Source organism: Homo sapiens, chromosome 19, assembly GCF_000001405.40.
Source record: "Homo sapiens chromosome 19, GRCh38.p14 Primary Assembly".
NCBI classification, from domain to species: domain Eukaryota; kingdom Metazoa; phylum Chordata; class Mammalia; order Primates; family Hominidae; genus Homo; species Homo sapiens.
The window spans coordinates 1,948,825-1,974,509 of NC_000019.10; the positions used below are offsets into that span (position 1 = coordinate 1,948,825).

General features: G+C 59.8%; 1 protein-coding gene and 1 long non-coding RNA gene across 10 annotated transcripts in view, besides 1 other annotated feature; one reads left to right on the top strand and one right to left on the bottom strand.

The window, feature by feature from the left end:
• The window catches only part of CSNK1G2 (casein kinase 1 gamma 2), a 40,167-nt gene that overhangs the window by 7,653 nt on the left and 6,829 nt on the right, over window positions 1–25,685 (top strand). For 4 of the 9 annotated variants that reach the window (XM_005259498.2, XM_005259500.2, NM_001319.7 and 1 more), the window contains exon 2: window positions 20,684–21,135. In XM_005259498.2, coding sequence (XP_005259555.1) covers window positions 20,949–21,135 — 187 coding nt within the window. In that variant the 5' untranslated portion in view covers window positions 20,684–20,948. Of the gene's footprint in view, window positions 1–5,836; window positions 5,892–19,966; window positions 20,082–20,683; window positions 21,136–25,685 lie in introns of those variants that run through there. The other 5 variants (XM_047438184.1, XM_047438185.1, XM_005259501.2 and 2 more) reach the window with 3 other exon arrangements.
• Window positions 3,703–5,725, bottom strand: CSNK1G2-AS1 (CSNK1G2 antisense RNA 1). Its single transcript, NR_033400.1, has 3 exons — window positions 5,019–5,725; window positions 4,562–4,682; window positions 3,703–4,187 (listed from the first exon to the last, which is right to left on the bottom strand). It is a non-coding gene; the product is annotated as a CSNK1G2 antisense RNA 1 (long non-coding RNA).
• Window positions 6,106–7,057: an enhancer, noted in NCBI's record as "H3K27ac-H3K4me1 hESC enhancer chr19:1954929-1955880 (GRCh37/hg19 assembly coordinates)". NCBI's record gives its function as "activates a minimal SCP1, AML or CMV promoter by ChIP-STARR-seq in naive H9 embryonic stem cells {active_cell/tissue: H9 hESC(naive)}" and the evidence as "EXISTENCE:reporter gene assay evidence [ECO:0000049][PMID:30033119]".

The window sequence follows — 25,685 nt, forward strand, 5'->3', positions numbered from 1 at the left end:
AGGACACGTGGTCCGCGCACACATACCTCGTGTGTTGTGTTAGGTGCTGCGTTCTCACAGTGAGGGAAGCTGGAGACCAGAACATGTGGAGAAAAGCAGAAGGAAGAGAAACCCTGTTTGCTCTTCACGCAGTGGAAGTAATGCTCATGGAAGCCTCTGTCCTCGTCGTGTTCACGTTGAGGGCTGAGGAAGGGAGGGTGGGTCTCGCTGTCTCGGGTGGCAGAGCGGGAAGGAGCCAGGAGAGGCTGGCGCCCTCAGGGCAACCTTTATTGAAAAAATCCACGTCAGAGTGGACCTGTCAGTTCAAACCTGCCGTGGTCAAGGCTCCTCTGTGAGTGCAGCCACCACCTGTAATTCCAGAGTGTTCTCATCACCTGCAAAGGGAGCCCTGGCCCCATCAGCAGCCAGCCTTCCACACCATCCTTTCCAGAACCTTCCCACCTTCCCAAATTGAGACGCTGTCTTCGTGAAACGTTCACTCCCGTGCCCTCTCCAGCCCCTGGCACCCCCATCCTACTTTCTGGCTCTGTGACTCTGAGGGCTCCAGGGACCTCCTAGGGGTGGAATCACACGGGATGAGGCCTGGTGTGTTTGGCGTCTCTCACTGAGTGTGACACCCTCGGTGCATCCGCGCCATGGCCCGCGTCCGAGTCTCGCTCCTGTTCGTGGCTGAGTCGTGTTCCGGCGTGTGGGTGGCCACGTGTTTATTTCTGTGATAGATGTTTGCATGGCATCCGCGTGTGGCTGCTGCGAGCACCCGTGTCCGGTTCCCGTGTGGCTGCGTGATTCTTCTGTCAGGTGGACTTCTAGCGGTGGAACCGCTGGTCACAGGGCCACTCCCGGTTGGACCATTTGAGGAGCCGCAGACGGCCATCCATACCTGCACTGTTTGGGTCCCCTGCCGGGTTTTGGGGACTGGATCTCTGCACAGCGACGACCACTCCCCTCTTCCGGTGACTTGGTTTCTCCTGTCCTTCGGCCCGATGCTTCTCTGGCCTGCAGGGCATCAGGGACCCTGCTGTCCTGATCCCCATGCCGTCTAGAAAGCCAGGGGTCCTGCATGTGCCCGGTGTCCCCACTGCCTTGTCAGGCACAGGGCCAGATCCTGCACCCTGTGACGAGCACGGCCAGTGGGACAGACAGATGGATGTGCTGCCCGTGACCTTCGCCACAGCGAGTTCAGAGGCCGGAGGCATCCAGTGTCCACAGAGTGACCGGTAGGCCCCAGCCCCACAGGATCATCGAGGTGGCCCTGGCCTTTCGAGGCCACAAAAATCAACGTTTATTTTTATTTATTTTATTTATTTATATATTTATTTATATATTTATTTATGAGACGGAGTCTCGCTCTGTCCCCCAGGCTGGAGTGTGGTGGCGTGAGCTCTGCTCACTGCAAGCTCTGCCTCCCGGGTTCACACCATTCTCCTGCCTCAGCCTCCCGAGTAGCTGGGACTACAGGCACCCGCCACCACACCCAGCTAATTGTTTGTATTTTTAGTAGAGACGGGGTTTCACTGTGTTTGCCAGGATGGTCTTGATCTCCAGACCTCGTGATCCGCCCTCCTCGGCCTCCCAAAGTGCTGGGATTACAGGCGTGAGCCACCGCGCCTGGCCATCAATGTTTATTTTTAAGTAGCAAAAGAGAACTCAGCAGTGTTGGAGAACTTGAACATTACAGCAACATCTGAAGAAGATGTTCTTTCACAAACCTCAGATTCCAGGAGATGAGCACCGTCCGCTTTCCAGAGAAAATTGTCTGAGGCCTCTGGGAGACAGGAGGGGGTGCACTTAGAAACAGCCAAGGCCTCCTTCCATGTTGGGACGGACGGGCCTTCCTGGGCTGGCCCGGCCTAAATCTGCTGCCGCCCACCGAACACCAAGGCACCTTCTCGTGCCCCAGAGGCCACCAGCACCCGTCCCCCTGCCTCCCTCCAGCCAGTGTCAGGTGGGGACCTGGCCGCTGGAAGGGAGGTGTCACCTGCTCTGGGGCATCCAGGAGGGAGGGGCTGCGGGAGTTTTGCTGGAGACCCTCCAGGTGGGGGTTATGGGGTATCATGGCGGAGCGTGTTGGGAAGTTTTCGGTGAGCTGGGCGTTTATTCGCCTTGGTGCCCCCCTAGATCCCTGGGTGATCCCCGTGCCCAGTTTTCAGGGGAGACCATGGGGGTCAGAGAGCTGGCCAGGCGGGTGGTCTGTGTCTGTCCCCTGCTGTTGAAATGAGGGGAGGTGAGAGGAGACGCCGTGTGCCTGGGGAGGCAACACTTTCTACCGTTTGCTGGTTTATAAAAATCAAAGATGGCCAGGCACGGTGGCTCACGCCTGTAATCCCAGCACTTTGGGAGGCCGAGACGGGCAGATCACGAGGTCAGGAGATTGAGACCATCCTGGCTCTACTAAAATACCCTGTCTCTACTAAAAAAAATACAAAAAATTAGCCGGGCGTGGTGGCGGGCGCCTGTAGTCCCAGCTACTCGGGAGGCTGAGGCAGGAGAATGGCGTGAACCCGGGAGGCGGAGCTTGCAGTGAGCCGAGATCGCACCACTGCACTCCAGCCTGGGCGACAGAGTGAGACTCCGTCTCAAAAAAAAAATAAAAAAAATCAAAGATGGGGGCCTGCTGGGACCGTTTGATTTCTTCCCATTCAGACCCTGCCAGATCCTGAGGCTGGCCCAGCTGCCTGTGTCCTCTGGGGCTCCCTGAGGAGGCAGCACCAGCTGTGGTGTGCATGACGGACAGGGGTCCCAGTTGGGGGGTGCAGCCTCCCGATGGGCCAGGATGGGGGATGCTTGGGTGCCCTCAGGATGTGCAGGCTGGGCGGGAGGAAGCGGTGAGAGTCCACCCCTCCCCACCTTCCTCTTCTCTGCTGTTTTTTTTTGGAGACAGAGTCTCACTGTGTCGCCCAGGCTGGAGTGCAGTGGTGTGATCTCCGTTCACTGCACGCTCCGCCTCCCGGGTTCACACCATTCTCTTGCCTCAGCCTCCCGAGCAGCTGGGACCACAGGCGCCCGCCACCACAGCTGGCTAATTTTTTGTATTTTTAGTAGAGACGGGGTTTCACCGTGTTAGCGAAGATGGTCTCGATCTCCTGACCTCGTGATCCACCCGCCTCGGCCTTCCAAAGTGCTGGGATTACAGGCGAGAGCCACCGGGCCCGGCCATTCTCTGCTGTTTTCTGACTCAACATCATGAAACAGGACCTTAAGCTGAGAAGTGGTGAGATTGGGGCCATCCTCATTTCCACATAAGGCCGTGTTCCTGTTTACTGGGGGCTAGGACTTGGCATGTCTTTTTCGGGGATAGCCCAACCCTTCTGTGTGAAAGGGGTCGTGATGGTCACTGCAGGACAGCAAGCACACCTTGGCCCCTCAGTGGGCAGTGGGTGCAGGGCTGGACGAGGGCCCAGGGGGCAGAAGCTAGTGCGCCGATAGCGTGTGTCATCTGCGGCCTGTGAGCACTGATGATGCCCGAGTGGCGGAGGGCGGGATGCTTCCACGTGCTCAACTTTTTTTTTTTTTCTTGAGACAGAGTCTTGCTCTGTCGCTCAGGCTGGAGTGCAGTGGTGCCATCTTGGCTTACTGCAGCCTCCACTTCCCGGGTTCAAGTGATTCTCCTGCCTCAGCCTCCCGAGTAGCTGGGATTACAGGCGTCCGCCACCATGCCCGGATAATTTTTGTATTTTTAGAAGAGACCGGGGTTACACCATGTTGTCCAGGATGGTCTCAAACTCCTGACCTCAAGTGATCTTCCCACCTCGGCCTCCCAAAGTGTACGTATCTTTTTAGTAACGATATATTTGACGATGATTAAAAAAACCCGATCCTTGAAGGCCCTTGATAGATGCTGAGGTGAGTACAGGCCTGACTCTGAGGGTCATGCGCCTAGCAGGCGTCGCCCGGTGCACAGGGCCAGGAGCTGAGTCGTGCGGGACTGGATGGAGGCCAGGGGATATAGAAGACCTGGGCAGCTCCCCAGGACCAAGCCCTCTCGCCTAGGGCTCCCCGGGGAGTTAGGCCGAACCCTGCTGTGCCCTTCACTCTGCAGCCCTCGTGGGGATCATCACAGAGGCAGGAGCTGGCAACCGAGGTGACTGCCTTCGAGTGGAGGGAAACCGGGGCGGGATGTCGCCCGGCGGCTCCCACACGATGAGGGGAAAAGGCACTCCAGTCTGGGTGGCAGAGCGAGACTCCGTCTGAAAAAAAAAACAAAGGAAATGTAGAAACGCAGCCCACCCAGGTTTTCCACGGCCGTTCATGGTTACGCTTCTGGAAGGACCCGTGTCCTCTCAGATGTAGCAGGATTCCGATGGGAGCCACCCCGGGTCCCACTCGCCCCCGGGACCTGCCGTGGGAGCTTTCTTTCCTGGTGGGGTGCCTGACTCTGCCTGCACGTTCCCCCCGCTGTCTGTGGCACCACTTGGGACCGGGGACCCCTGCCCCCCTGGCAAGACCAGGTCAGCTCTGCCCCCGGGCCACGGAGCAGGAAGCAGAGCTGAGGCTGCTGAGGTGGCGCAGGGTTGCTGTGGGGGCCTGTGCGCCATGGGGGCCTGGGTGGGGGTGTTCTCACTTCCCCCGGAGTCTGGAAGGCCGTCTTTGTGATGGATTTGATGCAGATGTGTCCACTTTGCTTTTGTTGATGGCGTCTGAGGCTCTGGAGTCCATGGCAGCCTTGCCTCCGTTTGCATAATCTGAATTTTGGGAAAATTGCCCCTATGTGGACTAGTTGCAGGGACAGTGCCCTCCGCCAAGGCTGCCGGTGGTGTTTGCCTTATGTGTCCGGTGCTGGGTGAGTGCCAGCTTTTCCCTGGTCAGCTCTGCCCGTGGCCCTCACCTGTGGTCTGTGCCATCACCAGGGCGAGGCTGACCTGTGGGACGGGGTCCCTGCACAGCCTCGCCGTCCCCCACATCCCCCCAACAGGGTCTGGTCCCAGCTGCCATTGTGCAGCCTTGCCCCCTCCCCCCGCATCAGGGTCCGGTCCTGGCCGCTGTACCGCGATCACCTGTGGCCCTCCTGTGTTCTTTACCTGGACTCTTGCCTTTGCTGATGGCGACCTGTGACGGCTCAGCTGCGTTCTCAGAGGCCGGCTGTCCTCGTGGGCGTCTCCGGTGCAGTCGGCGCGGTGAGGTTGGCTTCTGCCATGGACGGGGCCTTCTCGTGGTGATGACAGTCGCCCTTGGTCTGGTGTCTGCAGTGCTCCGAGGACCGGCCCTGCCCATCCCTGGCGTTCACTCCTCAGCTTCCTCCCATGGGGTGGGCGGCTTCCCTCCTCTCCCTGATTTGTGGGGTGTTTCTCTTTTGCACCTGATGCGTTAAACCCATTACCGGCCTAGGTCAGCCTGAGGTTGGTTTGTCCTGGCCGCGGCAGCTCCTGCGCCCCTCCATTGTGGAGGGCGCCCTTCCGTCTGCCCTGCGTCACTGGGCTGGGCCTGGCCCCGCTCTGCTGTGGCCCTGGCACTGGAAGTATGTGCTGCCCTGGTGTTCGGGGGCTCTTGGGTCCTGGGGCGCTGCAACCCCTCATTTTCTTTCCTTGGGGTGCAGATGAATTGGGGTGGCAGGGAACCGAGCCCACAGTGGCCAGCCCCTGCGGCCCCAGGTCAGAGGGCAGGGCCGGCCTGGACAGAGCTGCCCAGAACGGTCTGCGGCCGGGTCCACATGAGTCTAGGTGCCTCTGAGGGCACTGGGACGGCGGTGGCCTGCACCTGCCCAGCCCAGTGAGGTCCCTGGCCTCCCTTCAGCTTTGCCCTGGGCTCTGGGCTGAGGGCTGTGTGGTGATGTCAGCCCAGGGACTGTGACATCACTCAGTGGAGACAGTCAGAGAAGGGGGCTCCCGGGGCCCTCCCCAGGGAACTGGCCCTGGGCCCAGACCAGATGGAGGACCCCGAAAAGAACAGGGCAGGTAGCAGCCTGAGGCTAGGGCTGGGGAAGGGGATGGGAGCTGACGGGGAGAGAGCAGCCCCTTGTGGGATGGCTGCAATCCCCTCGTTGGCGCCCGGGAGCCATCCTTGGCGTGTGACCCGGAGCCGGCACTCGCCCCCTGGGACGGAATCGTGGCTGCGTGGGTTGGGTGGAGGCTGGGTGAGGATCAGCGTCCCTTCGTCCCTCCCTGGGGTTGTTGCTTTTCGCTGTGGCCCTCAGGCAACAGGGCAGGCCCCCAACCCCCAGGCCTGCGTGGGCACTGTGGGTGCCCAGCCTTTACGTCCTCGCTTCCTTCCAGGCCCCGGCCTTGTCTGGCTTCCCTTGGGCACCCCCTGGGGTTCGGAGAGCCCCAGAAGAGGCCGGGCTCTTCCTCCTTGGTGATGGACGGGTGCTGGGCCCTGACCGAGTGGTGACCGCCTCCAGGGAGTGATCTGCGCCCTCGGAAGCTGCTGAGTCTTGGAGTGGCGGCTCTTGTTTGTGGGGGCAGGGGGAGCTGGGCACCCGCCCTGTGCCCACGGAACACAGCCCAGGGTGGCGGCCCTGCCTGTCCTCTGACTGCCCTCCTGCTGCTGCTGCTGCTGCTGCGAGGGCCTCAGGCGCAGGCGGTGACTCTCGGGGCCACTCCTGAGGTGGGGGATGTGGGCTAGCGGCCACCGTGGGCGGCAGGTGTGCAAGCAGTGCTCCCGTTTTCCACTGGGCTGCCCTTCACCGGCTGTGGGTCAGCGCCCCCCACTGAGGCTCAGGCTGAGGCGAGGCTCCGCGGGGTGGGCGTGTGCCAGGGTGAGGCTCCGCGGGGTGGGCGTGTGCCTGGGCGAGGCTCCGCGAGTCGGGGGCAGCGCCCAGGTCAGGGGCTTCTCCGTCCATGTCAGGCTTAGGGTGGGTGTGGCTGGGCCCTCCCTCTGCTGTCCGCCCACGACCCCCTCAGAGGGGCTGTCGTGAGATGCTTGGAGGCGGGATCCAGCCCTGAGGGTGCAGGGAGTGCTCAGCGGACCCCCGTGCCACTGCTGTCACCGGAGGAGGCTGCTGCTCGGCTCCGGGCTCCATCTGCAAAGCCGGGTGTGCATCTGTGTGGCTCAGCTCTGCAGGGCACAGTGGGGTTTGCTCCCGGCCGGCCCTGAGGCCGGGCACAGGGAGGCCAGTGCTCATCCAGGGGGCCAGAGAGAAAGTAGCAACCCCAACCTGCCTGGGCCACAACAGCCAAGACCACTGTATCAGAACAGACGCCAGCGGGGCAGCCTGCTCGTTGGCCGGGCGGAGCAGGGTCGGCACACAGCCCGGGCTGGCCTTCACCCCAGCTCCCGACAGCGTTGGGTCCCTGAGTGCAGGGCCTGCCCCTTTCTCATCCTCCTGCCTCCAGGTCATGGGGCAGGGGTGCCGAGAGGCCCTGCGGGAGCCAGGACCTGAGAGGTGATGGTCACCACCCAGACGAGGGGCCGGGGGTCGCACAAGGAGGCTTCCAGGGGGATGCCAGGAGCAGTGGGGCCCTAGACCCAGCAGTGGGTAGACCCAGCAGGGCAGCGCTCACGTCACAGGTTCTGGGGGTTGGGGCTTGTCATCTGTGCAGGTGCAGCTGGGATGGGGATTTGGTGCTTTTTGTTCTGCAAAAGCCAGAACGCATGTAGCTGAGCCAAGATCAGACGGCATGGTGCCTCATGCCTGTGGTCCCAGCTACCTGGGAGGATGAGGCGGGAAAATTGCTTGAACTCGGGAGGCGGAGGTTGTAATGAGCCGAGATCCTGCCACTGCACTCCAGCCTGGGTGATGGAGCTAGATCCTGTCTCAAAAAACAAAAGACCACGCATCCTAGCCGGCAAGGCCACTCTGTACTCAGACCCGGCAGCTGTGGCTGTGGCACAGGCGCTTACCCTGCGGCATTGGCCCTTTCAGTGGTTGGTGTTGACCCTCCACAGAGGGGCTGGGTGGGGTGTGTCCAGTCCCATCTGGGTAGACTGAGTGTTGGGGATGGGAGAGTGTTTAAGGAGGTGGCGGTTACAGACTCCAGCATCGGGACACGGGGCCGTGGGTCATACCCACATCCGTGGGGGCTGTGAGACAGCCGTCCAGAAGCTTCTGTCTCCGGGCCAGGAGGACACCCCAGAGAGCCCCAGGAGGCTCGTTCCGGAATTTAGGGCTCAGCCTCGATGAACCTGGCCAGGCGGCGGTTGATGGGTTAATTCAGTTAATCACACATCACTCAGGGTTTCTCAGCAGAAGGAACTGACCAAGCCAATGGCTCACCTGGAAGAGAGAAGGAGGGAGGAGGAGGGGATTCTGCAGAGGGAAGGCTGGTGGTGGCGCCCCCCTTCGACGGTCGTGCCCTGATGCTGCGTGGCTTAAACGGTGCCACCCGGAGATTGGTGGGCGGGATTGGGCCTCTGGGGTCCCCGGCTGTGGAGAGGGCAAGGCAGGGGCGGCTAGAAAGAAAAGCAACCTGGACGCAGGCCCCACCTCCCTCCAGGCAGCCCCACAGGCCCGAGGGCCACCGTGTCAGGAGGGATAGCCTACACGGAGAGCAGGCCAGTGGCCCTGTGCCCAGGAGGGTGCCTTGCCCAGCCTGGAGGCCCGCAAGGATGAGAAGCAGTGTGTGCCCGGGAGGTCACGTGGGCACCACAGACGAAAGTGGAGCCGGGGGAGAGATGTCCCGGGATGCACCAGGCGCTCGTGCAAACCAAGTGCTGAGCAGAGAGCAGCCTGGGAGAGAAGGGGGCTGCCCCGAGCGGCTTGGGTGGCCGGGCCTGTGGGAGACCTTGGGTTTGCTGTTAGGAGGGACAGTGAGCGCAGGCACCTCTCTCTCCACTTCATGTTTGTCCTCACTGAGGGAGCCGAGCAGATGCCTTTGCCCCTGCAGGTCCCCCATGTCCCCTCGCCCGGGGCGCGCTCCACAGGCTAGGCCACTTTCACAGCTCACCACACAGGCAGAGACTGGAGGGTGCGCAGGACCCCGGGTGACTGCAGACGTGGGCACAGAGGGGCCTCTGAGGGCGTCTGGCGGCATTTGAGCAGCTGCCAGATCTCCCCTGGAAACACTGGGGTGTGTGCTCGGTGGGTGCCGTGTGTGGGGGGTATGTGCTCGGCGGGCGCCGTGTTTGTGGGGTGGGAGCTAGGCGGGCGCCGTTTATGTGGGGTGGGCGCTCGGCGGGCACTGTGTGTGTGGCACGGCCACTGCTTAGGGCCCCCTGGAGCTGCGGGGCACACGGCAGAGCCAGCCTCATGTCACCACGTGCTTCCCCCGTGTGCAGGGAGGGGTTGGAGGTGTGCGCTTGTCTTGTCCGGAAGCCGGGTGTTGGGACGCGTCCTGACGACGGCACTGCCCACATCCTAATGGGACACCTGAGGGACATCGGTGGCTGAGTAAGGGGCCCCTCCCGAGCAGGTCTGGAGGCGTTGGAAGCACAGCGCAGCCTCATGGGGCACCTGCCTGCTCTGCCTGGAATTGAGGGGCGATTGGGACTCCCACTGCCCCCACCAAAGCCTGTGCCCCTGATGTCTGTCCAGAGCACGGCTTCCTTCTCGGTGGTTCCCAGAGGCCGCTGGGCCTCGCTTCGTCCTTTTTGGGCAGCGAGTGTGTATGTTAGGGGAACAGGAGCCCGGCAGGGCCGTCTTGCAGGGCTCAGCAGTGGGGGCCGTGGGGTTGGTGCACCAGGGCAGGAGAGCTGCCCGGCTCCTGCTAGGTGTCTAGAGGGCCTCAGCTCTCCCAGGCACTGTCCCCTGTCCCCCCATCTCCCCTGTCCCCCCCATCTCCCCATCCCCCCGTCCAGGGCCGCAGCAGCTCAGCTCTCCCAGGCACTGTCCCCTGTCCCTCCGTCCCCCCGTCCAGGGCTGCAGCAGCTCAGCTCTCCCAGGTACTGTCCCCCGTCCCCCTGTCCCCCCGTCCCCCCGTCCAGGGCCGCAGCAGCTCAGCTCTCCTAGGCACTGTCCCCCGTCCCCTCGTCCCCCCATCCAGGGCTGCAGCAGCTCAGCTCTCTCAGGCACTGTCCCCCCTCCCCTCGTCCCCCCATCCAGGGCCGCAGCAGCTCAGCTCTCCCAGGCACTGTCCCCCGTCCCCCTGTCCCCCCATCCAGGGCCGCAGCAGCCCAGCTCTCCCAGGCACTGTCCTCCGTTACCCCGTCCAGGCACTCTCCCCCCGTCCCCCATCCCCCGTCCAGGCACTGTCCCCCCTCCCCCCGTCCCCCCCACCCCCGTCCAGGGCCACAGCAGCCGGTATTGAGTGTGGGTATGAGCTTTGGCTCTGGGTCCTGAGCGTCCCTTCCCCAAATTCCCCATGTGGCTTCCCAGTCTGCATCTCCATCTGCTCCCAGGGTGCGAGTTGGTTTTTGTATTAATAACTGAGGTGTGACACTCGGGCTGTACCCGCTAGCTGTGTAACTCATGCAGCTCAGTGCCTTTAGCTCATCATGAGGCTGTGTCTCTGTCTGTGCCATCTAATAGAGGATATTTTCATCCTCATGGCGAGAAGGGATGGATTTGTTTTCCTCGTGAAGTCGGTGACGTTTGCTTTTCAGGTTTGGTTGGTGGCCTCCAGTCTCTTGTCCTCAACGAGGGTTTTGGCAGCTCCCTCTCAGTGGCCTGTGAGTGTCCCCACTCCCTTGTCTGGGAAAGGGCTGGAGCTCTGGGGCTCACAGAGAGGGTGGGTGTGATGTCTTTTTCCTGACGTGGCATCGGGGTGTCTTACCTGCCCGGACACCTGCCTGCGCAGGGTAGCACAGACCCTACAGGCTGCGGCTGAGCCCCCAGCACCCGCCCCACCTTTAATGCTCGGCCCCCAGCACCCGCCCCACCTTTAGTACCACCCTGAGTCCCCCAGCACCTGTGCCACCTTTAGTGCCACCGTGGGTCCCCCAGCACCCGTCCCACCTTTAGTGCCACCCTGAGTCCCCCAGCACCCGTGCCACCTTTAGTGCCACCGTGGGTCCCCCAGCACCCGCCCCACCTTTAGTGCCACCGTGGGTCCCCCAGCACCCGTCCCACCTTTAGTGCCACCCTGAGTCCTCCAGCACCTGTGCCACCTTTAGTGCCACCGTGGGTCCCCCAGCACCCGTCCCACCTTTAGTGCCACCCTGGGTCCCCCAGCACCCGCCCCACCTTTAGTACCACCCTGAGTCCCCCAGCACCTGTGCCACCTTTAGTGCCACCGTGGGTCCCCCAGCACCCGCCCCACCTTTAGTGCCACCCTGGGTCCCCACATCCCTGGCTACACATTGTGGCTCCCACAACCCCGTTTGGGTTCACGGTCCTCCTGCAGGACTCTCGGAACTGGGGAGTGAGAGTTTGTTCCCTGCTGTTGTAAAGGGCATAACCTGGGGGAAGCCAGGCAGGCAGAAACCCCCACCCACGTCCAGGGCCCCATGTAGGGTCCGGAGCTTCCCTGCCCTCCCTGGTGCCAGTCCTGACCCTACCACAGCCGAATGTCTGCGTCAGCACAGGGGCGTGTAGGAAGAAAAGGCGTCCTGCTTAGGAGATAGGTACATCCGGGACCTGGGGCCTTCTCGCCCTCAGTCCACAGGGAAGGTCCCCCGGATGGCGCCTGCCCCTTCCCCCTCCCTACCCGGCTTCTGCACGCAGTCCCCTGAGATGGCCCACACGTCCTGCCGCTTTCTGGCAGGGGAGAGCTGAGGCCTGTGTCTTCAGGATGCTGCCTCTCGGGCAGCCTCCAGCCCTCGTCGAGAAAGGCAGGCAGTGTGGCGCGAGCAGGCTGGCCTCAGGCGGGGCCTCTGGGCAGTGTCCCCTCGGGATGTTTGCCGTGCTGGATCTCACACCCGGCTCTGACACGCTGCCGTGTCCCCCGTGTGCCTGCGCCTGGGGTCTCCGTGTGTGTGTCTGTGTACACGCATGTGGTTTTGCTTTCTTGTGGGCTGGAAAATCTAATAGTAGTCAGGGCGTGGTGGTTGACACCTATAATCCCAGCACTTTGGGAGGCTAAGGTGGGTGGATCACTTGAAGTCGGGAGTTTGAGACCAGCCTGGCCAACGTGGCAAAACCTTGTCTCTACCAGAAATATCAAAAATTAACCGGGCATGGTGGCACATGCCTCTAATCACAGCTACCTGGGAGGCCGAGGTAGGACAATCACTTGAACCCGGGAGGCGGAGGCTGCGGTGAGCCGAGATCGCACCACTACACTCCAGCCTGGGCGACAGAGCGAGACTCTGTCTCAAAACAAAACAAAATGCAGGCACGGACGTTTCAGCCCCCTCTTCCTGTGGATGCTGAGAGGGTTTCCAGAAGAAGGAGAATGTCCCCGTGCTGGTGGCTCATCCAGGTGTGGGCCGGTGTGCGGCGGGGCGTGGGCAGAGGAGAGGCTTCGGGCTCCGGTTTCCTCTCCTGTGGATGCGTCGCCCCCGCATGGTGGTCCTCTGCGGAAGTCCCCCTGTCCGTCCCGTTGGCAGCCGCAGTGGAAAGACGGATGGACGGGCTGTGACAGGGACAGCCCAGTGTGACCCCAGCCCTGGCCGTCGCGGTTGTGGCATTCTCGCTGTCAGGGGGCTGTTCCCGTGGCTCTCATGGCTGTGGAGGGGCGTGGAGGGGGCGGTCCCCATGGCCAGAACCTGGCCGTGGCGGGTGGAGGACTTGAGGCCGGCTCAGTGGTCAGCGCTGCTGCTTGTTCCCCTACACAGAGGCGTTGGGTGGAGCTGCCTCAGGTATCCCTCCTGGCTGGGGTGTGTGCGTCACCCTGAGTCTCCAGCCCATGCTGAGGAGCCTCGCAGGCAGGGCCCAGCAGCCTATACTCCAGGCCATTGCTGTCCGTTTCTCCAGAAGGCCCTGCTGGTGGGTGGTCCCAGGAGCTGGGCCTCAGTGGGGGATCCCAGGACAGTGGAGCCTGGGAGGGGCCCCAGTGTTGAGGCGTGAGGTACTGTCTGGAACTAGGGGGTGCCCCCAAAGCGGCACGGCGCCCAGTCCCTGTGCTGGAAGAGAGATGAGCTGCGGTGGGGGGTGGGGGACTACGTCTCACAGATCCCTCTCCCAGGGCACATGAGGAGATTCCTCCCCCAAAACGCCCAGGAAGGAAGTTAAATTTTAATATGGGTCTGGTTTAGAGAAACTAGGTTAGCCATGCGTGGGTGTTTCTGGATGTTTGGGCAGTAAGGAGAGTCGGTAGCTCAAGAAATCCGCTGGCCGCTAAGCAGGGGTGAGGGGCACCGACTGCCATCCCTTCTTCAACCACGGCCACTCGGCCACATCAGTGTCTCCTGCCACCTCCCTCGTGTCCAGCATCAACACAGCACTGCATCCCTGACCCAGTGCAGTGGAGAAAACTCGCATCCAAAAATAAACCAGGAGTCAGCCAAAAACACGCAAATTAAAATTACACCCTGGCCAGGCGCGGTGGCTCACGCCTGTAATCCCAACACTTTGGGAGGCCGAGGCAGGCGGATCACCTGGGGTCAGGAGTTCAAGACCATCCTGGCCAAGATGGTGAAACCCCGTGTCTGCTAAAAATAACAAAAATTAGCCAGATGTGGTGGCAGGTGCCTTGTAGTCCCAGCTACTCGGGAGGCTGAGGCAGAGAACTGCACGAACCTGGGAGGCAGAGGTTACAGTGAGTCGAGTTCGTGCCACTGCACTCCAGCCTGGGCGAAAGAGTGAGACTCTGTCAACAACAACAACAAAAAAAGCACACCCCCAGCATGGCTGTGCCCAGAAGCACAGAAGTGGGGTCACCACAGCTCACGCCTATAATCCCAGCACTTTGGGAGGCCGAGGAGGGAGGATTGTTTGAGCCCAGGAGTTTGAGACCAGCCTAGGCAACATAGCAAGATCCCATCTCTACAAAAAAAAAAAATTAGCCAGACATGGGGGTCCATGCCTGTGGTCCCAGCTACTCGGGAGGCTGAGGCAAGAGGATTGCTTGAGCCCGGGAGACAAGTTACAGTGAGCTGAGATGGTACCATTGTGCTCCAGCCTGGGCGACAGAGCCAGACCCTGTCTCAAAACAAACACAAAAGCTCACAGAAGCGCTGGGGTGGGTGTGTAGAAGTCAGACCCCCGGGAGCGGCAGGTGGAGGACGACTCGGTGCAGCAGCCACTGTGGAGACGACCTGGTGGCTCCTCAAAGATGCACAGATCTCCCATCCGACCCAGCACGACCACTCCCAGCTATGTACCCAGGTGGAGTGGAAGCCCGCAGCCACGCAGAAGCCCGTGCGCAGACGCCGCCGTGGACTCCAGCAGCCGGACGGTGGCTACAACCCAGATGGCCGTCAGCAGAGGAGGAGGCGTAGTGTGGCCCTCCATGCACTGGAACACAACCCAGCCATGAAAAGGAAGAAGCTCTGACTCAGGCCACGGCGTGGACGCACCTTCAGGACGCCAGGCTCAATGAGACACTCCAGGCTCAATGAGACACGCCAGACACAGAGGACATGCCGTGTGTGATCCCATTTCTATGAAATGTCCAGGGCAGGCCCAGCCACAGAGACAGGGAGTAACGTGGTGGTTTATTATAAATTTTTCATGAAAATAAAATATACAGTACTCTCGTGAGTTTATTATAGCCCATTGATTCTTTTTGTTTGTTTTTGTTTTGTTTTTTGAGACAGAGTCTCCCTCTGTCGCCCAAGCTCCACCTCCCGGGTTCATGCCATTCTCCTGCCTCACCCTCCCGAGTAGCTGGGAGTACAGGTGCCCGCCACCATGCCTGGCTAATTTTTTTGTATTTTTAGTAGAGACAGGGTTTCACCGTGTCAGCCAGGATGGTCTCTATCTCCTGACCTCGTGATCCCCCTGCCTCGGCCTCCCAAAGTGCTGAGATTACAGGCATGAGCCACCGCGCCCAGCCTATTTTCTTTCTTTGAGGCAGTGTCTCGCTGTATCACCCAGGCTGGAGTGCAGTGGTGTGATCTCGGCTCACTGCAACCTTCGCCTTGCAGGTTCAAGCGATTCTCCTGCCTCAGCCTCCCGAGTAGCTGGAGTTACAGGTGCACGCCACCACACCTAGCTAATTTTTGTATTTTTAGTAGGGACAGGGTTTCACCATGTTGGCCGTGCTGGTCTTGAACTCCTGACCTCAAGTGATCCACCCACTTTGGCCTTCCAAAGTGCTGGGATTACAGGTGTGAACCACTGCGCCCAGCCTCTACAAATTTTTTTTTTTTTTTTTTGGAGACAGAATCTCGCTCTGTCGCCCAGGCTGGAGTGCAATGGCACGATCTTGGCTCACTGCAACCTCTGCCTCCTGGGTTCCAGTGATTCTCCTGCCTCAGCCTCCTGAGTAGCTGGGATTACAGGCACCCGCCACCATGCCCAGCTAATTTTTGTATTTTTAGTAGAGACAGGGTTTCACCATGTTGGCCAGGCTTGTCTCAAACTCCTGACCTCAGGTGATCCCAAAGTGCTGGGCCTTGGCCTCCCAAGGTGCTGGGATTACAGGCATGAGCCACCGCTCCTGGCCTACAAAAATTTTTTTAAAAATTAGCTGGGCATGGTGATGTGTGCCTGTAGTTCCAGCTACTCTGGAGGCTGAGGTGGGAGGATCACTTGGGCCCAGGAGGTCGAGGCTGCAGCAAGCTGTGATTGCGCCATGGCACTCCTGCCTGGGTGACAGAGTGAGACCCTGTGTTAAAAAAAAAACAAAAAAAAACCAGGTTCAAGGTGAAAAGGATTAAGTGTTCCTTGAGACGTGTCAGCCAGCATTCAGACGATCTAGCCAAGGTCACTGCTGGAGGTGGCTTTTCAGGGTAGAAGAAACAGCCTTCTGGAAGAAGATGCCACCCAGGACTTTCCTCGTGTGGAAGAAGCGGTTCCCTGGCTTCCAAGGAGAGGCCCACCCTCTTCACCCTCTTGTTAGGGGCTAACGCAGCTGGTGACTTGAAGGTGATGCCAGGGCTTTTTACCATTCCACAAATCCTAGGGCCCACGAGAATTATGCTAAATCTACTCTGTGCTCTATAAATAGAACAACAGAGCCTGGGTGACAGCACATCTGTTTAACACCTGGCTTATGGAATATTTGAAGCCCACTTTTGAGACCTATTGTTCAGAAAAAAGTTTTTGTTTTTTTGTTTTTTTTTTTGAGACTGATTCTCGCTCGTCACCCAGGCTGGAGTGCAGTGGTGCCATCTCGGTTCACTGCAAGCTCCCCCTCCCGGGTTCACCCCATTCTCCTGCCTCAGCTTCCCGAGTAGCTGGGACTACAGGAGCCCACGACCATGCCCAGCTAATGTTTTTGTAATTTTAGTAGAAACGGGGTTTCAGCGTATTAGCCAGGATGGTCTCGATCTCCTGACTTCATGATCCGCCTGCCTCGGCCTCCCAAACTGCTGGGATTACAGGTGTGAGCCACCGCGCCTGGCCAAAAAGATTTCTTTCAAAATATGACTGCTCACTGACAACGCACCTGGTCACCCAAGATCCCTAGTGGAGACGTACACGATCAGTTTCCGGCCGGGCGCGGTGGCTCACACCTGTGATCCCAGCACTTCGGGAGGCCAAGGCGGGCAGATCACGAGGTCAGGAGATCGAGACCACAGTGAAACCGCGTCTCTACTAAAAATACAAAAAATTAACCGGCCGTGGTGGCGGGCGCCTTTAGTCCCAGCTACTCAGGAGGCTGAGGCAGGAGAATGGCATGAACCCAGGAGGCGGAGGTTGCAGTGAGCCGAGATTGTGCCACTGCACTCCAGCCTGGGCGACAGAGCGAGACTCCGTTTCCAAAAAAAAAAAAAAGATCATTGTTTCCATCCCTGCTAGCACAACATCCAGCCTGTAGCCTGTGGATCAATGAATGAATGAATGACTCGGAAATCAAGATGACTCCTTGACATGTCATTCATTCATTTATTTATGCATGACAAGGTGTCCCACTGTCACCCAGGCTGGAGTGCAGTAGCACGATCTTGGCTCACTGCATCCTCCACCTCCCGGGTTGAAGCAATTGTCTTTCCTCAGCCTCCTGAGTAGCTGGGGCTACAGGTGCGTGCCACCATGCCCAGCTAATTTTTATATTTTTTCATAGGGGGTTTCACCATGTTCCTCAGGCTGGTCTTGAACTCCTGAGCTCAAAGCAGTCTGCCCGCCTCAGCCTCCCAAAGTGCTGGGACTACAGGCCTGAGCCACTGTGCCTGGCCAAGTCTTAGTGTTTTTGAGGCACGGTCTCACTGTGTCTCCCAGGCTGCAGTGGAGAAGCAGAATCACAGCTCACTTTAGCCTCCACCTCCCAGGCTCAAGCGATCCTCTCACCTCAGTCTCCTAAGTAGCTAGGACCACAGGTGCGCACCGCCATGACTGGCTAATTTTGTTTTTATTTTTGTAAAGATAGGGTCTCCCTGTGTTGCCCAGGCTGGTCTTGAACTCCCGGCCTCAAGCAGTCTGCCTGCGTCAGCCTCCCAAAGTGTCGGGGTTACAGGCAGGAGCCACCGCAGCCGCCCATGACTCTCATTATTGAGAAATACATTTGTAAGGCTCTAGGTGCCTGTAGGTGCCGTGGAGAGCAATTCCTCTGATGGAGCTGGGGAAATTGGGTAAATTGAAACCCCCGGAAAGGCTTTGCCGTTCTAGAGGCTGTGAAGGACACGCGTGATCCATGGGAGGAGGTAACATGTCAGGATGAGCGGAAGTTTGGAAGAAGTTGGTCCCAGGCCTGAAAGATCACTGTGAGGGTTCAGGACTTCAGTGGAGGAGGGACTGTAGAGGTTTTAGAAGCAGCAAGAGAACTAGAATGAGAAGGACTTGGAGATGTGACTGCATTGTCGCTGTCTCGCGAGAAAACTTTAACACGTGAGGAGTTGCCTCTGAAGGGTGAGCAGGGGAGTTGCTTCAGTTGCGCTCTAGTCCCAGTGAAGATTCTGTGAACCTGGGGGTAATGAGGACAAAGAACTTGGAACAGCCCGGAACCTCGGTTGATGAAGCCGCGGCCGGGTTGAGAGGACCGACTGCAGTTCTGAAAGACGTTCTGCTGTGGGTAATCAATGCTATCAGACAGCATCACGCCCCACAGAGAAATCTTTCATGAAAGGAAGAGTCCATCGCTGTGGCCAACTTTTTTGTGGTCATAGTTTAAGAAGTTGCCCCAGCCTCCAGCAGCCACCGCCCCAACGAGTCAGCCGCCGTCCACATTGAGGCAAGACCCTTCTCCGGGGAGATTAGGGCCACTCCCGGTTCCCATGATCATTACCATTGCTTAGCAGTAAAGTATTTTTATTTCTTTATTATTTATTTAAGATGGGGTCTTGCTGTATCCCCCAGGCTGGAGTGCAGTGGTGCGATCATAGCTCACTGCAGCCTCCGCCTCCTGGGCTCAAACGATCCTCCCGCCTCAGTCTCCCGAGTAGCTGGGACCACAGGCTTGCACACCACGCCCCGCTTAATTAAAGTGTGTCCTTTGATTAGACACAACGCTACTGCACACTTCCTAGACCACGGTATACTGTGAACGTAACTTGTGTGTGCACTGGGAAACCAGAACATTCGAGCGGCTGTTGCCGTGCGGAACCCAAGGCCTGTGATCCCCACAGGGTGTTTCTGGCACCGGAACGCAGGGGCCACATCCAGGGGGGCAGTGCTTGTGACGCCGGTGCCTTCGTTTCTGATGTGGCTTACTCAGCTGGGAGTTCCTGTCCTAACATTTTCGGCGATGGCTGTGCACCCACGGCCCCTCTTCACCCGCGGCCCCTACGTCCTGCCGGTTGGCAGGAAACCTCTTCCCCTGCACATCTGGGGCACAGCAGCAAACTGTGGTCCCCCTTCTTCAGTGAGGGTGGGGCTTCTGTCTGTCTGGAGCCCTAGAATGGGGCCAGGGGTGGCTGGGGCCTGGGTCAGGGAGGACCCGGCAGGATCTGTGCAGACAGGCAGGTGGCTGCGGTGGCTCCCGGTGCAGGGTTCTTGGCCTCCTGGGCGGGTACCTGGCTTGAGGGCGACGAGGTGACAGCCGCGTCCCTGGGGTTGCACCACCCGAGCGTCCAGTTAACACCACAGCTGCCACCCTTCAGTTCTGCAGGTGGGGCTCCTCCCTCCTCCCCAGGCTGCCCCCACCACCCTTCAGTTCTGCAGGTGGGGCTCCTCCTTCCTCCCTCCTCCCCAGGCTGCCCCCGACCACCCTTCAGTTCTGCAGGTGGGGCTCCTCCTTCCTCCCTCCTCCCCAGGCTGCCCCCGACCACCCTTCAGTTCTGCAGGTGGGGCTCCTCCCTCCTCCCTTCTCCCCAGGCTGCCCCCGACCACCCTTCAGTTCTGCAGGTGGGGCTCCTCCCTCCTCCCTTCTCCCCAGGCTGCCCCCGACCACCCTTCAGTTCTGCAGGTGGGGCTCCTCCCTCCTCCCCAGGCTGCCCCCGACCACCCTTCAGTTCTGCAGGTGGGGGCTCCTCCCTCCTCCCCAGGCTGCCCCCACCACCCTTCAGTTCTGCAGGTGGGGCTCCTCCCTCCTCCCTCCTCCCCAGGCTGCCCCCGACCACCCTTCAGTTCTGCAGGTGGGGCTCCTCCCCAGGCTGTCCCTGACCACCCTTCAGTTCTGCAGGTGGGGCTCCTCCCTCCTCCCTCCTCCCCAGGCTGCCCCAGACCACCCTTCAGTTCTGCAGGTGGGGCTCCTCCCTCCTCCCCAGGCTGCCCCCGACCACCCTTCAGTTCTGCAGGTGGGGGCTCCTCCCTCCTCCCCAGGCTGCCCCTGACCACCCTTCAGTTCTGCAGGTGGGGCTCCTCCCTCCTCCCTCCTCCCCAGGCTGTCCCGAGGCTCCTTGCTGGGGACCGTCCTGCCTCCCGTCGGGGCCTGCGCTGAGACTGGGCTCCATGCCAGCCGGGGCTGGCTGGCCCCCTCGCTCCAGAGAGCGACCTGCACAGAGTCCCCTCAGCCATGAGCCCCTGTCCAGACACGGCGTTTCTCTGTGGGTGGCAACAGGCTCTGGGGCCCTCAGCTCTGGGCTCGGGAGCATTTAAGGTGGTGCAGACTCAGCGAGGGGCTGTGGGCTGGGGTCCCACCATCCCGGGAGCAGGGACTGCGTGTTCCTTCTCAGGACCAGAGGCTTCTGTCTTTTCCCCTGGGGTAGAAGTTTGCTGCCTGCCCCGTGCCCAGCCTTGCTTAGGTGGCTGTTGGCTCCGCTGGTCCCTCAAGCCCCGCCATTCCCTCCTCAGCTCCGCTCTGCACCGAAGGGGATGGGTCCGACCCAGCCTGGCATCATCACAGCCTCGAGTGGCGTCCAGCCTGCCCCGCTCCACCAGTGGCTGCTGGAGAAGAACCCGAGCCTGGGTCAGGCCCTGGGGGCTCCTGCATCAGTGCCCGGCTCTCCGGGGCCTCCTGCCCTCCGGCCCACTCTCCCCGCTCTCAGCATCAACCAGTCGCCATGGGCAGGGGCAGCTCGGTGGCTCCTGTGTCCCTGCCTCGGGCCTGCCTGCTGTCATCTGCCTCCCTCCCTCTTTCCCAGAGCGGCCCTGGGCCTGGATACGGGGACTGTTGTGTGGCCCCTCTGTGTCTGGGGGTGCGACTGCTCCCCTGGCTTCAGGATCCTCAGGGCTTCTACCCGGGATTGGCAGTCATGCTCTCCTGGCAGTACACTCTCCCACCTGTGCCACCCACCCACCCACCCACCCATCCCGCTTTACAGAAAGCCCCCTGAGCCCTACCCTGTTCGTCCCCAGGCAGCCACGCCGAGATCTCTGGCCTCTGATGTCATGTGATGTGTGCTTCCCAGCTGGGTTCCGGGCAGGGACGGTGCTCATCATGCCCCGGCCTTCAGAGCTCCTTCCAGCCCAGCAGTCTCCTGGCTGTGTCCTCTGTGGCCTCCGCCCCGTGTCCTCAGTGGCCCCGCGGGGGCCTTGCCGGTGCTCACCTGTGCCTCTGTTTCTCTGCAGCTGTGAGCCGTGAGCTTTGAGGCGGTGGGATGTGTCAGCAGAATGTCTCCTGCCCCCGAGAGCGACCCCGAGGCCACTGAGAAGAGCAGCGCGGCCTGGCCGGCCCGAACGCCTGCGTCTCAGTAGCTGGGAGCCACGGGCCCACGCCCGCCCACCGGCCGCAGTGATGTTCTAGCCACAGAGGAGCCAAGACCTCAGGTTTCCAGAGACTTGGGATTTGCACGGCAGCAGAGTCACCGTGGAGAGGCCAGGGTATCACAAACTTATGGATTTTGACAAGAAAGGAGGGAAAGGGGAGACGGAGGAGGGCCGGAGAATGTCCAAGGCCGGCGGGGGCCGGAGCAGCCACGGCATCCGGAGCTCGGGGACCAGCTCGGGGGTCCTGATGGTGGGCCCCAACTTCCGCGTCGGCAAGAAGATCGGCTGCGGCAACTTCGGGGAGCTCCGCCTAGGTGAGGCCCTGCTCGGTGGTAGGTGGGGTCGGGAGGCTGCTGGCAGGGCCGCCCCGAGTCACCGGAGCCTCTGGTGGGGCCGCCCGGGGTCACTGGAGCCTCTGGCGGGGCCGCCCCATGTCACTGGCAGGTGCGTTGAATCATCAGTCCGTCGTGGTGCGAGTGCCACTTCCCTTCGAGGAGGTTCTGTGGGGAGAGTGGGTTTCTGGCCCTGTCACCTTTTCGGGAAACAGTTCTGTTGGGAGGCAGGTGGCCCAGAGCAGGCCAGGCCACGCCGCAAGGAGCCCGATGTTAAGTTGTGAATGACTTTCATGGCCCATGTGCACGCTGGGCGAAGCCCCGGCTTTAACGGCAGGTGCCTGCCCGGCACTCAGCTCGTGGGAGGTCTTGGCCAGCCCGGAGCTGGCGTCAGGTGGCTGGAGTGACTGTTCTGTGGTGATGATACTGCTGTGTGCCACTCCCAGCTTCACCATGTAAAAGGCCGCACCTGGCCCACCTGGCTCCGTCCCTTCTGCTCACACCAACCTCTCCCGGGTCGGGGTCTGATTGCCCGGGCAGGCGTGAGGAGCAGGGCCGAGGACTGAGCCTCTCATTGGCCAGGGGTGCCTTCCCTGGGGTGGGGGTGCCTGAAGATGACCATCAGGCCTGGGGGAGCTCTGAGCACCTTTGGGGCCGTTCCCAGTCTGTGATTAGCTGGGCCAGGGAGCTGAATCATCCCCGGAAATGTGGTTAAATTTATTGCTGGTGCTGCCGGAGCTCCTGCGGGAGGGCATTTGGCGTCTGTTGCTGGGGTTGTCCGGGGAACCCAGGTGCACCCCCAGTCAGTGTCTGTCGTGGTGGGAATCAGGGTCCCTGGGAAAGAGCGCAGGATGGGCAGGTCCGAGAGGCCACGGCAGTGGATCGGCCTCACGTGGGCACCCATGGCAGGCGGTGCCCATGGCACCCATGGCAGGCACTCAGCCCGATGAGGTTGTCAGATGAGGGAAACAGGCCCACGCAGTGGTCATGATGTGGCTGCATCTTCAAGAGCGGCCGCCCAGGGGCGCAGGAGCATGGGCTGTGGCGGCCTGGACCCCAGGCATGTTTTGTGGCCCTGCTTCCCACCTCCTGCCTCACTTTACCCACCTGTTAAATGAGGATGAATGGTAGTTGCCACTCGTGGGCAGAAGGGTTCAGCAGGCAGTTATGCGGCAGAAGTGTGTGTCCTATGAGTCAAGCAGCTTCTCCCAGGCGAGGGCAGCTGTTGGGGTCACTGTTGGCTGTTTCTGTGTTCCCATTGGTTGCACCCAGGGCCCCAGGAGGCCGGGGTTTGAGACCCCACCCGAACCAGATCCCACCCCAGCCCTTGGGGAGGCTGCTGGGATTCCACCTCTGCGCAGAGGCTGGGCTTGGGCCACGAAGCCTCACTGCCGGTCCGACGGCCTGTGGCTCAGGAGGCCCGGGCTCCGTTTCTCAGCCAAGAGACTGAGCTTTTCCCAACAGGAGCTGTGGCCTCCCAACCCCGTGTGTGTGTGCACGCTCAGACACACGTGCAGACACATGCAGACATGTACACACGTGCCCACAAATGCACATGTGCACACTAAAGCACACGCACACAGGCGCACACAGCCACAACCACGCATACACAGGCACACAGGCTCATCTGCACACACATGCCTGGCACAGCCCCGTGACCTGCAGCCTGCGGGGTATGGCTTTTGGGAACCCAGATGGCTATGTGGGTCCTGTCCTTGGGCGGCGGTTGCAGGCTGCTGAATAGTGCAGGTCCCTGTAGGCAGATGAGAGTGACGTGGGTGATGCCAGCTTTTTTTTTTTTTTTTTTTTTGAGACGGAGTCTCGCTCGGTCACCCAGGCTGGAGTGCAGTGGCGCAATCTCGGCTCACTGCAAGCTCCGCGTCCCGGGTTCACGCCATTCTCCTGCCTCAGCCTCCCGAGTAGCTGGGACTACAGGCGCCCGCCACCACACCCGGCTAATATTTTGTATTTTTAGTAGAGATGGGGTTTCACTGTGTTAGCCAGGATGGTCTTGATCTCCTGACCTTGTGATCCACCCACCTCGGCCTCCCAAAGTGCTGGGATTACAGGCGTGAGCCACTGCGCCCGGCCTGGTGACGCCAGCTTTTACTGAGTTGCGGTTTGCGCTCTCTTCAGCCTGGCATTTTGGGCGCTGTGTGCTTCGCGGGCAGCCGCACATCGTGGTTTCTCAGGGGTGCCGGGAGGCCGTCCATCGGAGGACACACCAGCCCTTCTTCATCTGCTCCCAGCGCAGGGACGCTTGGCTGTTTCTGGATTTGGGCCCTTCTGAATAGAACTAACTGCCCAAATAGAACTGAATAGCACTGGGCTCCTCGAGCACTCCACGTCCCCAGCACTCAGGACTGTTGGTGGCTTTGATGTTGAGCCTGTTGTGGACTCCGGTTGTTGAATGTTGTTCCGTTGTCTAGAATGTTCTAGAATGTGTCGTTTTTTCTGTTTTTAAGGTTTTTATCTTTGATTTAAAATATTGACTATGCTCTCCTTAGATGAGGCTTTCTGTTTTTATCCTGCTTGGGATCCACTGACTTCTTGGATCTCTGTGTTGGTACTTTTTCAAATTAACTTTGGAAAAATGTGAGCCATTATTTCATGAAACGTTTTTCCATCTCAGCTTTGCTTTGCTTTGTTTTGTTTTGTTTTTGAGATGGAGTTTCACTCTTGTTGCCCAGCCTGGAGTGCAGTGGCACCATCTCGGCTCACCACAACCTCTGCCTCTCGGGTTCAAGCAATTCTCTTGCCTCAGCCTCCCGAGTAGCTGGGATTACAGGCGTGAGCCACCATGCCTGGCTAATTTTTTATATTTTTAGTAGAGATGGGGTTTCACCTTGTTGGCCAGGCTGGTCTTGAACTCCTGACCTCAGGTGATCCACCTGCCTCGGCCTCCCAAAGTGCTGGGATTACACATGTGAGTTACCGCGCCTCGCCTGCTTTGTTTTTTTTTTTTTTTGAGACAGAGTCTCGCTCTGTCACCCAGGCTGGAGTGCAGTGGCGTAACCTCAGCTCACTGCAAGCTCTGCCTCCCAGGTTCGTGCCATTCTCCTGCCTCAGTCTCCCAAGTAGCTGGGACTACAGCCGCCCGCCACCACACCCAGCTAATTTTTTGTATTTTTAGTAGAGACGGGGTTTCGCCGTGTTAGCCAGGATGGTCTCCATTTCCTGACCTCGTGATCTGCCCGCCTCGGCCTCCCAAAGTGCTGGGATTACAGGCGTGAGCCACCGCGCCTGGCCTTGCTTTGGTTTTTTGAGACAGAGTCTCACTCTCTTGCCCAGGCTGGAGTGCAGTGGCGCGATCTCGGCTCACTGCAACCTCCGCCTCCTGGGTTCAAGCAATTCTGCCTCAGCCTCCCAAGTAGATGAGATTACAGGTGCCTGCCACCACGCCCAGCTAAATTTTTGTATTTTTAGTAGAGACAGGGTTTTGCCATGTTGGCAAACTCCTGACCTCAGGTGATCTGCCCGCCTTGGCCTCTGAAAGTGCTGGGATTACAGGCGTGGGCCACCATACCCAGCCTTGCTCTCATTCCTGGGTTCTGGTTCTGCGTGTGACAGGAGTGCTTGGCCCTGTCCCCAGGTCCCTCAGCCCTGGCTGTTTTCCGTCTGCCTCTGTGCTCTCCTGGTGTCAGGCTGTGCGGCTGCTGCTGCTGCTGCTTGAAAGTTTACTCTTTTTCTGCAGCCTCCAACCCCAGAAGTCCATGTGGTGAATCTTTGATTGCTTAGTGGCATTTTTCGGTTTCGTCTGATTGTCCATTCGCTCTCAGCTGAGATTTCCCATGTGCACATTCACTTTGGCCATCTTTTCCTTTAAATCTTTGAACATGTTTGTGCTGTTTCTTAGTCCATTTTGTGCTGCTGTAACAGAATGCCACAGACTGGGTCATTTATTTTTATTTATTATTTATTATTTTTTGAGATGGAGTCTTGCTCTGTTGCCCAGGCTGGAGTGCAGTGGTACTATCTTGGCTCACCACAACCTCCGCCTCCCGGGTTCAAGCAATTCTCCTGCCTCAGCCTCCCGAGTAGCTGGGATTACAGGCGCCCGTCACCACACCCAGCTAATTTTTGTATTTTCAGTAGAGACAGGGTTTCACTGTGTGTTGGTTGGCTAGGCTGGTCTCAAACTCCTGACCTCGTGATCTACCTGCCTCAGCCTCCCAAAGTGCTAGGGTTACAGGCATGAGCCACTGCACCTGGCCAGATCATTTATAATGAACAGAAATTGATGGGCTCACCGTTCTGGAGGCTGGTGAGCCCCAGATTGAGGGTGGCGTCTGGCAAAGACCTTCTTGCCATGTCATGGCAAGAAGGCATGGTGGAAGGCAGGACGGCACAGACCGGAGGGGGCTGGATTCGCCCTTTAGTCAGGAACCCACTCCCCTGCTGATGGCATTCACTCATCCACGAGGGCAGCGACTCAGATCCTCTCTCTAGGCCCCAGCCCCAGCCCCAGCAGTGCTGGATTGGGGACCAGGTTCCCAACACATGACCCTTGGGGGGTGCATCAAAGACACAGC